Source organism: Homo sapiens, chromosome 2 (assembly GCF_000001405.40).
Source record: "Homo sapiens chromosome 2, GRCh38.p14 Primary Assembly".
Lineage (NCBI taxonomy): Eukaryota > Metazoa > Chordata > Mammalia > Primates > Hominidae > Homo > Homo sapiens.
The window spans coordinates 109,222,100-109,239,182 of record NC_000002.12 but is presented as its reverse complement, the minus strand read 5'-3'; the positions used below and the strand labels follow the sequence as shown (position 1 = coordinate 109,239,182).

Here is a 17,083-nt window from a genome sequence, read left to right as displayed (position 1 = left end):
CCAGGGAAGAAAGAGGTCTGGGGAAGCTCAAAGTGCTCACAGAGTTCTGAGCTCTGGGACACTCGGAAAAGACGTGTCTTGGACGTCTTCTCCTGTATACAACCATCTTGACATTTGGCACTGCATAAACCCAGGGAACTTGCTTATTTTTATTACATTTAACATTGTTCTGTCTACCAGTAGCTTTTCCTCTCATGAACAGAAAGAACTGGAGGCAGAAAAGCCAACTGAAGGGCCCTCTCATCTGTTGTCTCTGATGCATGCACCCCCTCACATAGAGCCAGTGACCACAGTGGAGCTGTATCCTCCCTTGGGACAGAGAGAAGGGACTGCCCCCCACACTGGCTGCTGTCCTCCAGGGCAGACCACACCTCGCCGGGTTTCATCAGGGGCCTTGCCTCTGTATTGCAAGAGCCACAGAGGATGCAAGCATGTAGCAGCTGCCTGGGGGAAGGAAGTCTTGAGCAACAAGGGCATCCGGTCCTCTGTGGAGTGAGGCCATCCTGTGAGCACTCTCCTCCTCCATTCATCACACTCTGGGTTTAAGAAACTCTGAAACAGTGGCATCCATAATGCGAAAAAGAATTCCTGAAAAAATGTCCCCTCCAAAGTTTCCAGTTTCCAGCAGAGATCGCACCACTGCACTCCAGCCTGGGCAACAAGGTGAGGCTCTGTCTCACTCTCACACACACACACACACACACACACACACACACACACACACACACACACAAATATACATAACAAACAAGAAATGTATAAATTAAAGAAAAAGAGAAAATTTTTTAAAGCACCCACAATCTAGCTGTCATGCTCTGGTAGTTGTCTTCCAGCCTTGTCTCTGTGCATAGATTTATAAGATTTTTAAAAATACAGTGATATTAGTGTACTTGCCATCTGGTATCCTGCTTCATTTTTAGAGCCAACACTTTTCTATTGAATTAGTCTTCATAAAAACCATTTTATTTTATTATTTTTTTTTAAGAGACAGGCTTCACTCTGTCACCCAAGCTAGAGTGCACCCGCATGATCATGGTTCACTGCAGCCTCCAACTCCAAGGCTCAAGAAATGCTCCTGCCTCAGCTCCACCTGGGATTACAGGCAGATGCCACCATGCTTGGCTAATTTTTTAATATTTTGTAGAGATGGGGCCTCATCATGTTTCCCAGGCTGATTTTGAACTCCTGACCTCAAGTGCTAGGATTACAAGCATGAGCCATTGCGTGGTCATAAAAACCATTTTAATTTGGTGGCATAACACTAAGTTAATTTATATACCATAGCTTATTTAGCAATCTCCACACTATTAATAATATCCAAGTTGTTCTTCATTTTTTGCTTTATTTTATACTAAAATGGAAACTTTGTGTAGAAAGTATTTGTTTTTTGTGTTTGTTTTCAGGATGATTTTCTTTTGGAAGATCCCCAGATGTCATCGCTAAATCAAAGACACGGGCATTTAAAAGTAGGAGTGTCCAATCTTTTGTCTTCCCTGGGCCACACTGGAAGAACCGTCTTGGGCCTCACATAAAATATACTAACACTAACAATAGCCGATGAGCTTTAAAAAAAATTCACACACACAAAAATCTCATAATGTTTTAAGAAAGTTTGCGAATTTGTGTTGGGTCACATTCAAAGCCATTCCCTGGGCCACATGCAGCCTGCAGGCCGCGGGTTGGACAAGCTTGTTTTAAAGACTTCCAATCCATCATGCTGGTTCCCAAAAGCATTATTTCACCAGCCTTCCACCAACCTTCTCCATAGACTTGTTAAGACTGTGCACTTTTTTATACTCTTTGTTACTTTGAAAGCTGAGAAACAACATTTTTTTTCAATGTGTACCTCTTTGATTACCAAGATCAAACATTTCTCCATGTTTTCTGATAAAGATAAATGTCTTCCAACATTAATTATTGTCAGTTCCTCTACTGACTTATTTCTATACATTCTTTGCTGGTGGTCTGGTTTTAGTAGTTTTAAACAACCACTTTTAACAGAGTGTTCATATATTACAAATATTAACTCTTTAAAATCTATTCCGTGAACATCTTTCCTCCATGTGTATTTTGTCTTTTGGCCTGACATTCTTGTTTATTTCTTATTTTAACATTGTTTGCAGTGAGATGATGTCACTGCTTTCATTTGTGTTGGCTTCTCTACCTTCTAAGTTTAGCTTCCCCTGATCTTTCTGTGTCCAGGGTCTTTAATATTAAACCCTTAGGCCAGTTGAAATTTCTCTGGGGACTGCCTCTCCCTGCCCTAGAACTATACTTATGCCTTGTCCCCTGAGCTGTAAGTACAGGTCACTGCAGCGTTTCACAGCCGGAGACTGTACCTGCAATTTTGATCTCTGAGGAGAGTCCTCTTAAATGTATAGGCTGTTTCCTGGCTAAGAAGGCTCACCCCTCACTTCAGGGCAGCACCAGTTTGCAAACAGGAAACAGTCCATGCTGTAAGAATAAAATAAGGGGCAGTGTCACCTGGGATTTCCTTTCTTCGACCTTGACCTTTAGGCGTCTTTAATCTCCCCATTTGGGCAGCATCTTCTCGTGGTAATGTTAATGGTACTGTCCCTGTTTCTCAACAAAATAAAGCCCTCATTCATTGTCATCTTCAACCAAGTGTATGCAAAGAAATAACCAAAACAAAATATACCATTTATTTCCTACAATGCACTGACCCAAGAAGACCACCTTTTCTGATTCCTAAAAAACACGGCTCACAGCTGTGTGCTCAAGGTGAAGTTTGAGGAGAAAGAGAATGGAAGTGATGCACAGCTTACTCCAATGACATGGGAGCTCTTCCAGAGTGCTTCACTGGGATGCTCGCACACTCTGGAGGCACTGCTGGGCATTGCTCATTATTCCCCTGCCCCGACACTGCATGCAGAAACAACCTGGACTTTAGGACCGAGGGGAATTTGGTCATTAATAAGAGGTCCAAAGGCAAGTATATTACATTGTAATTGGGAGGCAGTTTTCACTTCCAGAAAGTTTTCTTTCTTTTGGCAGTGATTAAGAGTTCTAAAAATGTCCCCCAGAAATAAACTATTGATCTTGGAGAGGTTCAAAATGTGAATAGCTTCATGCATATTATAATAGGTCAAGGCGAAACCAACCCCACAGCCTCTTAAAGTAAGGGCAGTGAGCATGCATATTATAATAGGTCAAGGTGAAACCAACCCCACAGCCTCTTAAAGTAAAGGCAGTGAGCATGCATATTATAATAGGTCAAGGTGAAACCAACCCCACAGCCTCTTAAAGTAAGGGCAGTGAGCTTAGAAGGCCCTCTCCTGTGCAATCTGGCTTGGCAGGGTTAAGAGGTTTTATCAGTCAAGCATGTAGGAGAGGAGGCCCACCCTGGTGCCGAGTGCACGTGAAGATGAAATAAGAACAGGGAGAGAGGGGCTCAGTAGAGAGTCTAACAAGTGTTGTCATCAGAGCTCACACTTCCCACAGGGATGCCTCGACTGCACACCTTCAATCTTTATGTTGGTAGACACGTACACTCTCCCTCTCTCCCTCTAATGACACCAAAAAACAGCAAAAGCAAAACAAACAAACAACAGCCTTCGAGGCCCATGCCATGGCATCTCTCAAACCCAGGAGAACCATCTTACCAGTCACTTCCAGCAGCACCTGCTTCTTGCTCTCCAGGTGACCAGATGGCCCCATGTGCCACCCACACCTGTTGTCCTGGCATGAGGGTTAATAGGGCCCCTTGCTCTCAAAAGTAACCTGATTTGTATGGTACCTAGTCACTCTCCTCAGCTAACACACACAAAGGCTTTGAAAAGATTAGGGTCTCTCAAACTGGTCTCTTTAGTGGCCCTTAGAGATCCCTAGGGTGGATGAAGAGGAGGTAGGAAGGGGGAGGGGAGAAGAAAGACCTTGCAGTGAGAATTCTTGGCCCACCAACCAGTCCTCCCAGAACTATTCAGGGTTGATCTATTTTACATGCTCGCTGTCCTTAAACCTTCATTAGAAGACAGGTTCCTCCCGCTCTGAAGTGTTTAGAAACCATGGGCCAGACAGTCTTCCCAGGGCCCCCCTCCCAACTCTAAAACCGTACTGCTTATTGCTCTGTGGTCTGGTTCTAAAGCTCTGCCTCACCATAAAGGAGAACATGATGGCCTACTGGGCTGAAGGGACCAGGGCAGCTTCTAAAGATATCAGATAAAGATATGCCATAGTCAAACGTTGGGATCTGGTGACAACAGGTGCTGAGGTTAGGACACTCATACAACAACTCAGATACACAGAAACACAAAATGGAACAAACTAGTTTGCCCTGAATCCTTTAGAATCTGAGGTGGCAACTAGAACTGTTCAATATTCCATCTCTCTTTTTCTCAGGAACATATCATGGTTGAATTTCCCCAGGAAGTCAGGTGTGAAGATGTAATTTGTTTCAGCAAATAAACGTGGTGTGTGCTGCTCCCACACAGAAGACTCCAAGAGCCTGTGTGCTATCAGCCTCACTCTCTTCTCATCAGCCCACACCCCTGTGAGATCAACAAGAAGCAGAGCCCTGTGCCTGCTGAGATAATCTAACAGCGTGAATGAGAAACAAACATTTATTGTTTTAAACAGCTGTCAACGAGGGCAGCCTGTTACTGCAGCACAACAGAGCCTATCCTGACCAATACAGAAATGTTTCAGATAAAATACAAGCTACTCGCTGAGAAGAATGTGTGTTCTCTAGCCCAGTGTTCCCCAAAATTGGTTCCAAAGAACACTAGCTCCATGAGACATTCGTGGTCAAAAAAATTTAGAGAAATTGCCTGTTTCATCTGTCCCCTTAAGGGCCTTATGTTTTAGGCACTAAGAATCCTGCAATAAAGAAACAGTTTCACTTCATCTAACCTAAAGTTTTCCTATATGAACTGTCCATGAAAGGTGCATTTACTGGCATCCTTAGTAACAGTTTCAGAATCTAGTCCATTCAGAAAAGTAACTGACTAATAACAAATTCAGAGATTCCAATGGCCTATTATTGATTAAAATACTATTAACTTCATGGTATAGCTATTTTGAAAAACAATCTGGCATTTCCTATAAGGAAATTAAACACACATTCACCTTATGATCCAGCAATTCTACTCCTAAATGTTAATATTTATCCAAGAGAAATGGAAACATATTAACACAAAAACCTTCATGTCAATGTTTACTGTGGCTTTATCAATGACTGCCAAAAACTGGAAACAATTCAAATATCCTTCAGTGTTAAATGGATATGCAAACTGTGGTACCTCCATATGATGGAATATTATGCAGCAATAAAGAGGAACACCCTACTGATAGACAAAACAATGCAGACCAATCGCAAATGTGCTACATAAGTGAGAGAAGCCAGACTCAAGAGCTACATACTCTGTGATCCTATTTATATGGCATTCTGGAAATGCAAAACGGCAGGAACAGAAAGCTGATGTGGGACTGCCAGGGTGGCCACAGCTGATGAATATTCCGAGCCAAAAGGATAGAGCTCTGCATCTTGAGTGTGGTGGTGATACGAACAGGAGGCAGGGAAATACTGGGTAGAAGAGGGTGGTTCCCCGGCAAAGGCCCCACCCTCAAGCCTGGACACCATGGCCCTAAATGAGAACAGTTATCCCTGTTTTCCCACTCAAATGTTGCTTTTTCCAAAACCACCCTGGCCCACCACACCCCCATCCTGTACCTATAAAACCCCCAAACTGCACTGGCAGAGAAGTAGAGCAGTGCAGCAGAGGAGGGAAGACACGAAGTGTCTGAACATTGAAAGGAATTCAGCTGGGGATGGTCAGAGAGGAGTTCAGCTGGGGACAGCCAAACTCCAGGGGAAGATTATCTTCCCACTCTCTCCCCTTTCCAGGTCCCCAACCCACTGAGAGCCACCTCCATCACTCAATACAACCTCTGCATTCACCATCCTTCAAGTCCATGAGACCTGATTCTTCCAGGGTGCTGGACAAGAACCTGGGTACCAAGAGGACAAGGTGTAAGAAGCTGTCACCCTGACTGTCCACTGAGCTGGTTAACACCTAGCCATCCATGGACAGCAACTGCTAAAGGAGCATTAATTGTAACACACCCCTCGCCACTGCTGTGGGATGGAGCCCAAAAGCACTAGCTCCGGCCCCAGCACCCACTCATCTGCGTGCTTCCCATCCTGCAAGGGGTTTGAGCACATGGTGGCCAAGTAAGCAAGCCACACCCCTATCGCAAGTCTCACAAAGGGGTAAGGGAACTCTCCTGTCTCAGTGGTGCTCACTCAACTGCAGTTGTTTGTCAAAACTCACAGAACTGTAAACCAAAAAGTGTGAATTCTACTGTGTATAAATTGAACCTCGATAAAATTTTGCATTAAAATTTAGTTTTCAAGTATAAAATGGAAGTCTCAGCTGTGTTTAGGGGACCCTTTAATTATCATCAGGGAATATCCAGAAACAGCTCATAGAGCTCCTGGTTCCATCACCATGATGCTTCCTATCCACTCATCTTTGCTTTGGATGATCCCACATTTCTCTAAAACATTGTTAATCAATCACCCCTTTCCAGAAAGAAGGGATGGACAGGGTAGAAGGAGGGGCAGAGACTCACAGTTGGTCTCCTTTTAGGCATGATGAGAAAGGTCCACGCTTATTGAACATTACAGCATGGGAGACGCTGTGCTGTTTCATTTCCCCCTCAGTCAGTGTTCACAAGCACCCTACGGGACAGGTGTAACCATCTCCTATTTACAGATAGATAGGCAGACCAGGGCTCAGAGAAATTAAGTGACTCAGCCAGGTAACACAGTTAGTGATAAGTACTAACCTGAGCCATATTTATACTTTTAGCAACTACTCTCTACCATTTTCCAACTCTGAAAAAATGATCCTTCTAGGATGACTACAGTCAAAAAGACAGTTCATAGTATGTGTTGGCAAGGATATGGGGAACTGTAATTCTCCTATGTTGTTGGGTGGTAGTGATGCAGCCACTTTAGTAAATAGCCTGGAAGTTCCTTAAATGGTTAAACAGAGTTACCACATGATCTGGTCATTCCACTACAAGAGAAACGTAACTTAAGACCAAACAGACACTTACACATAAATACTTGTAGCGGCATTGTTCATAATAGCCCCAAAGTGAAAACAACCCAAATGTCCATCATCTAATGAACGGATAAATAAAACGTGGCAGATTCATACACATCAGTACTAAAAAGGATAAAATATTCTACAATGTATTGTGGTGATGGACACAACTCTGTGAATATACTGCAAGCCTCTAGGTTGAACACTTTAAAAGGGCAAATTACATGGCATGTGAATTACATCTCAATAAAGCTGTTTTTCTTAATGGCAAATATCTAATCCAGCTAGAGTAAATTCTACATTACTAAAAATGAATAAGAGGAGAACAAGGAATAGAAGATCCAACACAACAAATAAATCCCAAATGCTCTGTAGTCTCTTTTAGCATGCACGGTAAGATTTAATTTGGAAGCAGACTAAAAATACTAATTATATTTTTACTTAGGCTAATGTTAGTATGAAGTCCTCAGCCACATGTCATCTGAGAGCAGAGGGAAGCAGCCTACTTAACTAGTAGGTGGAAAGAAGTAGCTTATCATGGAATAAAGAAATACAGCAAAAAGCCCAAGTGGAAAAATCTATGAACAGAGCACGATATTTATTCTTCATAGATGTTTCTGGAAAAAAATTTAAGCACTAGCCATTAGAATGTGGGTGAGACTTGGTCTGCACGAGAAAAGCAAAGCATCCTGCCCCAACCAGGCACAGATCTAAGGCTGCCAACATGAACGTGGTGATAACTGCATTAACCTTCTCCCAGGGGAGTTATTTTTTATTGTAACACACTTGTCAAAATGTCATCGCATTAGCTCACCTCTCCCACATCCACCCACCAATTCCTCTCAGCTGTAGAAGAAAGAGCAGTAATTAGAGCAGGAAACAGCCCCTGGATGAAGAACTGCTCCAGCCTGACAGTTCATCCGAGACTTCGGCAAAGCCGCTCTGGCCTGGCTCCGGGAGGAGAGGAGATGGGGTCACTAAGTCCATGCTAGGCAAGCCACCTAAGCCTCCTTCCAGGCAGGGACAGCAGATGGAAACTGTGTCCCAGAAGCCAACTCTGCTGCTCTGTCCGTGCTGACATTCAGGAACTGTGACAATTAATCACACATAACAAAGTGTACTTTTGTCTTACACAATTCAACCCAACTCCTACTGCAAATGAGTTTGACCTATCCTGCCTTCCTGTTTGAGCTGTCCCTTAGCCGAGATGGGAGAAGCCCCCAAAGCCCCCAAAGGGAGTCCTATTGGCCAGTGAACTCCTAGGGGATTTAGAAATGAAGTGGAATTTTTTATCTTCTCTAGAAACAAACACAGATGCTCCAGCACTTATGATAGGGTCATGTCCAGACAAACCCATTTTAAGTCAACAATATCATAAGTTAAAAAATGTACTTAATGCTGGTGACATAGCTGATGATCCCCGACTTACGATTTTCTGACATTACAATGGGTTTATCAGGACATAACCCCACCATAAGTGGAAGACTGACTTACAATGGGGTTACAGTTTCTTTTCTTTCCTATTTTTATTTTTTAAGATGATCTCTCTCTGTTGCCCAGGCTGGAGTGCAGTGGTACTATCTCAGCTCACTTCAACCTCTACCTACTAGGTTCAAGCAATTCTCCTGCCTCAGCCCCCCGAGTAACTGGGATAACAGGCATGCACCATCATGCCCAGCTAATTTTTCCATTTTTTTTAGTAAAGATGGGGTTTCACCATGTTGGCCAGGCTGGTCTCAAACTCCTGGCCTCAAGAGAGCCCCCCACCTTGGCCTCTCGGAAGTGCTGGGTTTACAGGCGTGAGGCACTATGCCTGGCCAGGGTTACAGATTTCTACTGGAAGTATATGGCTTTTGCACCATCATAAAGTCAAAAACTCTAAAGTCAAACCATCCCAAGTTGAGGAATGTCCGTATTTGAATGGATAAACAATATATAGTATATCCATACGACGGAATATTAGTCTGCCTTAAGAAGAAAAAAAAAATCGGCCAGGTGCGGTGGCTCGCACCTGTAATCCCAGCACTTTGGGAGGCTGAGGCGGGCGGATCACGAAGTCAAGAGATCGAGACCATCCTGGCTAACATGGTGAAACCCTGTCTCTACTAAATATACAAAAAATTAGCCGGGCATACTGGCGTGCGCCTGTAGTCCCAGCTACTTGGGAGGCTGAGGCAGGAGAATGGCGTGAACCCAGGAGGCAGAGCTTGCAGTGAGCCAAGATTGCGCCACTGCACTCCAGCCTGGGCAACAGAGCGAGACTCCGCCTCAAAAAAAAAAAAAAAAGAAAGAAAAAGAAAAGAAAAAAAATCTAAACACATACCAAAACATGGATGAGCCTGGATGATGTTAAGTGACATGCCAGACACAAAGGACAAATATTCTATGATTCCAGTTATACGAGGTACCTAGATGTAGTCACCATGTCTTATTTTCTGTATGCTGATGCTTTCACATCTGGGGCCTTCCTGACCCTGGAGGGGCTGCCAATTCCTAGAGATAGTGAACAACTTGCTCATGAGTGTGCCTTTTTAATGCAAACCCACCAATTCAGAGCCCACATCCCAAATCCCTCCCGTATCGGGCTCTCAAGCTCCAGGCCACTATCCACCTGCCGTGACCACCCCAGGACCAGTCTGAGAAGCTGTCATAGCCAGAGGAGTCCATGGAGACATGACAGCTGTGAGGCAGTATGGGATCCTGGGACAGAAAAAGGATGGCAGGAAAAAACTACAGCTTTGCAAATGGAGAACTATCATGTTAATGTATGAAAAGTACCATGCTAATGTAAGGTGTTAACAACAGAGGAAGTGGGGTGTGGGTATGTCAGAATTCCTCATACTCTACTCACCACTGCTCCAAATAAGAAGTGTACTAAAAAGGGGGAAGGGAACAGCTGTGTGACATAATAAAAATACATATTTGGTCTTTGTCCCTGGTTCCTGGCACAGAGCTCCTAAATCCCTGGTAATTTTCTGAGTGATAGCGGGGCTAGGAGTATCTTTTGTTCTGATATTTGGTCTTTGATTGAGGTTCCCAACACAGAGCTCCTAATCCCTTGGTATTTGCTGGGTGATGGAAACCTTTTTTCTGTGCTGATGAAGTGACTCTGGTGGCTCCTGGATGAAGGCTGGTCACCAGAAAGACCTAGCCATGACCAGAAACTTGGAGTTTTCAGCTCCATACCCCATCCTCCAAAGAGGGCAGAGGGGCTGGATATTGTGTTGATAACCAATCATGCCTGTGTGAAGAAGCCTCCATAAAAATCCCTACAAGTTGGAGTTTGGGGAGATTCTGGCTGGTGGATGCATCCACCCACCTGGAGAGGGTACATCTAACTCCACAGAGACGGAAGCCCCTGTGCTCAGGACCCTTCCAGACCTCGCCCTATGTACCTCTCCATCTGGCTGCTTGCCTGTATCTTTTATCATGCCCTCCACTAATATAATAAACCAGATTTGCAGCCACGCCACACAGAAGTTCCAGGTAACCTGAAGACACCTCTTGCAACTGGCCTCTGAAGTGAAGGCAGCCTGATGAGATTGAGCCCTTAACCTGCAGGGTCCATACTAGCTCCACATGGAAGGGGTCAGAACTGAACTGAATACCCAGTTGGCATCTGCAAACAACTGGAGAATTGCTTGGTGTGGCAAAACCCCACACACATCTGGTATCAGAAGTGTTCTGGGTGCATTGTGGGTATCAAGGAAAACAGTTGGTTTTCCTCTACAGGGTGACATGTGGAAATAGAACACACATCCCAAACATCTTCAGACTAACAGAGATGCTGTCTACAACACATTTATTGCACCTGCTCATTAATGAGACAATAAAAGCCTTTGGGGGATAGACACGCACTGCTAACACCTGCCACCAAGCACATTCCTGGGGACTAGGAGGGCTGCCGATTGAATTTCTGACAGTATTATAAGCAAGTAGCACCATGTTTGCCAAACGTTGCAAGTACATCATTTGCAGCATGAAAACACAGCCATTAGAGATTGCCTGTATGTGTCAAGAGAGAGTAAAAGTACCAAACCAGACACTCGTACCTGTGTCTGGGCATCACTTTCCTACAAATAAAGGAAAACACTGAACTATTCCCCACTCTTTCCTACCCACAGCAAATGTAAATCCCATGCCCCTTGAGCCAGAAAAGCACCAATGCACGTTTGTTTGGGAAACATCAGGAATGACGGTCACCATCATGAAGCCTACAGGGAACTGCAGTTGCAGACAAACCGATGAAAGGCGGAGCGACCGAAGGGCCAAGGGAGATTGCCAGAGTGAGCGGGAATTCGGGAAAGGAAGTGTTGACTCCAGTTGGCTGGGGGGTGACCTACCCAGAAAAAGAACTTGCGTTGGACCCGAAAGGACTGCACAAGATTCTGGCACTTGCAGAGAAGTGGATCCTGTGACCTGCAGGGAGCACAGCACAGAAGCAGGGGAGCTGCCGTGTACCCCATGAAGCCAGTGGGCATGGCCAGGCCAGATCCAGGGGAATCTCCCACACACAGACAATCCCAAGAGCCAGGGATCTCCCAGAGAAGCAGACAGGGATGAAGGGCAGGGCCCAGGCAGACCCGGGAGCCCACACAAAGCACCCAACATGAAGCAGTCCCTGATAGCTTCAATGTCACCATCCTCATAACTCCAGTCGCATTTGGTTTTTACTTGACTGTGAGAACTTGTGGCTTAGTAAGAAGAACAGCTGGTTACAGAAATGAACCAGGACCCCTAAGGACCTGAGAACCAGGACTTGAGAAGTCCCTTAGTATTGTGACTTTCTGGCATGGACGTGTAGCTTTGTGTGCCTGACATTCACAGAGCTTCTTCTAGCTACAGGCACCAATTTTCTCTTAGCTCCTTCCCCCAACTTTCAGCCCCTGAGGCCTGGGTGGGATCCTCTCAATTTCAGGAGAAAACACACACCCTAAGTCTGAGCCAACCACTGCCACTGCCATCAGTTCACTCAGCCGGAGTGAATCTCGTGAGTTCTGCAGATGTTCCAGCAAAGACCCCAGAAACATGACAAAGACCCCTAAAGCCCTCTTGCACCTATGAAGAGGACAGTGGAGCTGCTAGGCCACCATGGAAAAGCTTGGTGGGACCCAGAGCTAGAAAGAGACCAAGTCCTGATGGCATCATCTGAGCCATGAACCCGGCCATGGTGGATGCATCTACCTCAGGACCCTTGGTTATCTGGGCCACCACACGGCTTTGCTTCTCTCTGTGTTTTGACTGATTCCAGTTAGTTTCTCTCCTGCAGCTGTAGGGGTCCTGGTTCATTTCTGTAACCAGCTGTTCTTCTTACTAAGCCACAAGTTCCTTAATGGCACAAAGCATGTCTATATCTGAATGTCCCCTAAAGATCCAGCACCACGCCTTCTGCGTGGAGATCCTGCAAAGACTTAGGAGCAAACGGAGCCACAAAGGGAGCAGATGCATGGCCCCGGGAGAAGTCAAGATGGCAGACCAAGAAACACTCAGGAAAGGGGAGCGATTCAAGAAGCAATGAGAAAAAGCTAAGAGTGATGAGCCACAAAGTCACCCTAAGAACAGTAAAAATCTAAACTTTAAAGGGACTTAAAAAGAAGTGGTTGCTACAGTTTATTTTTGGTTTATGTCTTAAGAGGTCAGCAGGGTACTTACTTAACGATGAGGACTGCACATGGGCCACGTGTGTCATTAGACCTCACATGGCTCCAGTTCCTCCATGGGCCACAGACACTGTAGATGAAACAGCTGACCTTCCTGAGTCAATGTGACTTTAGCTTTGAAACAGTTGGCAGGGTCATGTTCAAAATGAGCTTATTGATCTGTTTACATAACTACTCTTACATTAACTATTGTAACAAAAAAAATGTAAAAGGAGCCAGTCTTTCTCTAAGTTCCTTCTGCAGATGTTGACAAGCAGAGCTGTGAGCTGGGTTCATAAACCTGGGAAACAGATAATAACTGCTATTTGGGGACAACCTCCTCTGACATTTCCTCCTAAAATTAACAAGTGATTTAGCCTGAGTCAAAAATGACAATATTACAGCTATGCAGATAAGTTGTTCAGGGTCAGGCCTATTTTTTCCTGACAAAATACTACTCTAATATTAAAATGGTATTTTGGTGATTCATTGTGGAGAGCTCCAACAACAGATTAGAATAGGGACTCTTTGAAAGCAAACTTTTAGCTGGCATGGTGGAAAGCGACTATAGTCCCAGCTACTCGGGAGGCTGAGAGGGGAGGATCACTTCATCCCAGGAGGTCAAGGCTACAGTGAGCCGGGATCGCACTTCTGCAGTGCAGCCCGGGCAACAGAGCGAGACCCTATCTCAATTTTAAGAACGAAAGAAAGCAAACTTGAAACTAACTTATAAAAATAAATCTTAAAATTTAAGTCTAGGACAAACACACCACCTGCTCTCCTCTCTGTTCCTGATATTTACAGGAAACAAGACGGTCATCTTTTGATTTTCTAAATTCAAACATGAAAGTGACTTAAGACATTGCAAATGGGAAGTCCCAGAGAGGAACGTGGAGCATCCCACATTAAAAATCATTCCCTGGCCTAACTCTCAGGAGAAAACTCCACATGGTGAGTGTGAGTGGGCCAGGTGGGTCAGCCCACCCAGTCCCCAGTGGGGAGTCGGCCTGGCCTGTATCTTTAAAGGGAGTTGTTTGTGTGAGAATCGTTGTGAAACCTGTTAACGTGCAGATTTCGGGTCCCTGTGAAATGGGTCCAAGCGGAGCCCGGAAACCCACATTTTGAAACTTCCCTTGGTTACTTGCAGGTCTCTCCACCCAGCTGAGTACAATGGTTTGAGGACTATTCAGCCGGATCCCCAGTGTTTAATAAGCCTTCTTTATTATTATCGTTATTAAAATAGAGCTCTTCATATCCCAGTTGCCAAGAATGGGGCAAGATAGAATCTCAGAACTAGCAGAAGCCATAGAACCTCATTTTACACAAGAGGAAACTGAGGCCAGGGAATTTAAGGGACTGTGCTGGTGTCATCCAGCTTAGTTGGTTGGTCTAAACGAAAAGGCTCCAGGCCAGGTGTCAAAAAGCTATGTCTCAGTCACTTCCTTCTTCCAGACAATCTTTCCTTCAAACCCACAAAATTCTTTTTAAAATAAGATTTTTAAAAAGATAAGGTTATGCTGCAGTTCTCTAGCTGTCCATTAGAGTAGCCACTAGCCACAGGTAATTATTTAAATTTCAGTTTTAATTGACTAGAATTAAATGAAAAAAAATTTTTTTGAGACAGAGTCTTGCTCTGTCACCCAGGCTGGACTGCAGTGGCATGATCTCAGCCCACTGCAACCTCCCTCTCCAGGTTTCAAGCGATTCTAATGCCTCAGCCTCCCAAGTAGCTGGGATTACAGGTGCCCACCACCATGCTGGGCTAATTTTTGTATTTTAGTAGAGACGGGGTTTCACCATGTTAGCTAGGTTGGTCTTGAACTCCTGACCTCAAGTGATCTGCCCGCCTTGGCCTTCCAAAGTGCCGGGATTACAGGTGTGAGCCACTGCGCCTGGCAAAATGAAATTTTAAAAGCCACTTCCTGAGCCACGCCGGCCACATTCATGAGCTCAGTAGTCACCTGTGGCTGGTCGCTACTGTACTGAACAGAGCAGACACAGGACATTTCCATCACTGCTGCTATGCACATGACCTCAAAAACTGCTTCAAGTCCCTTTTACATCAGAACAAAATGCAGATTTAATCTTGGACTAAACCCAGCATGCAATCAAAATCCCACATGCGTATCTGAAAATGTGCTTATTTGTCCAATATGTGACATATAGTTTTAGCATCACTAATAATACCAAACAAGTCTTATTTTACTATGCTTGGTAAAAACCTAATTTTGATAGATCTGATTAGCTATTCAAGCCAAGTTTAAACTCCCAATGCCCACACCCCCTCCATTTGCACATGCACACACACTCTCTAGGCCTGCCAAGCAGGGGCAGAAGTGGGAGACCAGGCCTCAGTTTCTTTTTGTGTAAAACAAGGGGCGAGGCTAGGTAAACCCTGAAGCTATTCCAGCTCTTAACATTCTATCCATTAATGAGCCATGTGGACAGATTTTATTGATTGAATTTGTTTTTGAGACGGAGTCTCACTCTGTCACCTAGGCTGGAGTGCAGTGGCACAATCATGGCTCACTGCAACCCACACCCCCCAGGCTCAAGTGATCTGATCCTCCTACCTCAGCCTCCGGAGTAGCTGGGACAACAGACATGTGCCACCACATCCAGCTACCAAGTGGACAGATTTTAATTTCACTTTCTGCACAAACATGTATTGAACACTTTCATGTGCCAGGAGCAGAGACTAGCAGGGATGGCTCAGAGGCTGTCCTCCACGGCTCTGCAAGGAAAGACAACGACACATCCCGGATCTCCACGTTGGGGCAGCATCACGTGGGGGGCAGAATTCAGGGGAGAGCCATGGAGAGGTGCAGGGCTACCCAGGGAGCACTAAGGAGCTCCAGTTGTCTGCATGGTGCTACTGCCCTCCACCGATGCTTGAATGGAGCCCGCAGCTGAAGCATGTGCCCACACCCCTCAAGCCCTTCCTACGCTTCCATTCTGCTCATTTCCAGCCACTGACCTAGGACTGACATGGGCAGGCCATGCCCACTCCCAAAGGGGGACAATGCCTGAAATAACCGAGGAATCAAAGCACTTCGGCAACTCCATCACAGCGAGCACACGGCAGCTCCTAGTGGCCACTCCTGCTTCTTCGGGCTTCAGAACGCCCCTCTTGGCTCTGTCGGCTCTGGGAAACACACCAGGTAGGCTGCTCACGTGGCTGGTGCTCACGCAGCCTCTGAGGGCTCTGGATCTGGTAACAGCCAACTCCTGGTTATCAGGGCACTTGACTGCATGGGACGGCAGCAAAGGGGGACAAAGCATTCATGATCTGTGGCAGCAGCACCCATGCTGGTTTCAGGAGAAGGTGGCAACCTCATCCTCCCACCTCTCTCCAACCACCTGCTTCCCCCTGTCTGGGATGGAGAAGCATCAGGGCGTGGTGCCAGCCTCTGCCAAGAGGTGGGATCACACCATCTGATGGCCACAGGGGCGGACAGTGCCCTCTTCACCCTGAAGGGTGCAGTGAGTACAGACCCTGTTGATGGGAGAGTATGGGGACCGTAGCCCCAGGCAGGGGCAGGTCCATCCCTCTCACAGCTGGCTGAGTCCCCATGTGGGATACACGCGGACACCTTGGGGATGCCATGTGGTCACAGAGGACCTGCGCTGCTGGCTGAGAACTGGAAAATGTGCTTTATTTCCTGTGTTTTGTTTTGTCTTTTAGCAAACCAAAAAGTCCTTAGGCAGACCACCTAATTTAACAGAAACACTGGATGTCAGTGGTAGAAGAAAGGAGCCCACGCCATCCCAGGGTTTTAGGGAGGAGGTACAGGGAAGGCCTGGCCAGGCTCCACAGGGCCAGCATAGGCCACCAGGGCACCACCCTTCCTAGGCCCAGTCCAGGGCACACGCGTGCTGTGGATGCTGGAGGCTAAGCCCAGGGCCTGCTCTCCTGGCCTCTCACCCTTGCCCCTCCAACAATGCACTCCCTCTGCTGAAGGATGGACTCTTTTTATTTTTTTGGAGGAACTTTTACTGATACATAATAATTGTACATATTTATGGGGTACATATAATATTTTGATACATACAATGTGTAATGATCAAATCAGGGTAACTAGCATATCCATCACCTCAAATCTTTATCATTTCTTTGTGTTGGGACATATTCAAATCTCTTTTAGCTATTGTAAAATATACAATAAATTGTTGTTAACTAATCACCCTGCTGTACTATCAAACACGAGAATTCATTCCTTCTGACTGTATGTTTATACCCTTAACCAACCTTTCTTTACCTCCCTACCACCAACACATCCTTTCCAGACACTGGCATCTGGCACTCTACTCTGTCTTCATGCGAGCACCTTTTTTAGCTTCCACATATGAGTGAGATCGTCCAATATTTGCCTT

The 17,083-nt window shown here is 45.5% G+C and overlaps 2 protein-coding genes across 3 annotated transcripts in view, besides 4 other annotated features; both read right to left on the bottom strand.

Moving 5' to 3' along the window:
- Positions 1-17,083, bottom strand: part of RANBP2 (RAN binding protein 2) — a 1,122,820-nt gene that overhangs the window by 603,119 nt on the left and 502,618 nt on the right. The window lies entirely within an intron of this gene.
- Positions 1-17,083, bottom strand: part of SH3RF3 (SH3 domain containing ring finger 3) — a 375,430-nt gene that overhangs the window by 265,452 nt on the left and 92,895 nt on the right. The window lies entirely within an intron of this gene.
- Positions 63-152: an enhancer, noted in NCBI's record as "active region_16358". NCBI's record gives its function as "activates an Ori minimal core promoter by ATAC-STARR-seq in GM12878 lymphoblastoid cells {active_cell/tissue: GM12878}" and the evidence as "EXISTENCE:reporter gene assay evidence [ECO:0000049][PMID:35858748]".
- Positions 193-282: an enhancer, noted in NCBI's record as "active region_16357". NCBI's record gives its function as "activates an Ori minimal core promoter by ATAC-STARR-seq in GM12878 lymphoblastoid cells {active_cell/tissue: GM12878}" and the evidence as "EXISTENCE:reporter gene assay evidence [ECO:0000049][PMID:35858748]".
- Positions 433-622: an enhancer, noted in NCBI's record as "active region_16356". NCBI's record gives its function as "activates an Ori minimal core promoter by ATAC-STARR-seq in GM12878 lymphoblastoid cells {active_cell/tissue: GM12878}" and the evidence as "EXISTENCE:reporter gene assay evidence [ECO:0000049][PMID:35858748]".
- Positions 6,107-6,166: a silencer, noted in NCBI's record as "silent region_11859". NCBI's record gives its function as "represses an Ori minimal core promoter by ATAC-STARR-seq in GM12878 lymphoblastoid cells {active_cell/tissue: GM12878}" and the evidence as "EXISTENCE:reporter gene assay evidence [ECO:0000049][PMID:35858748]".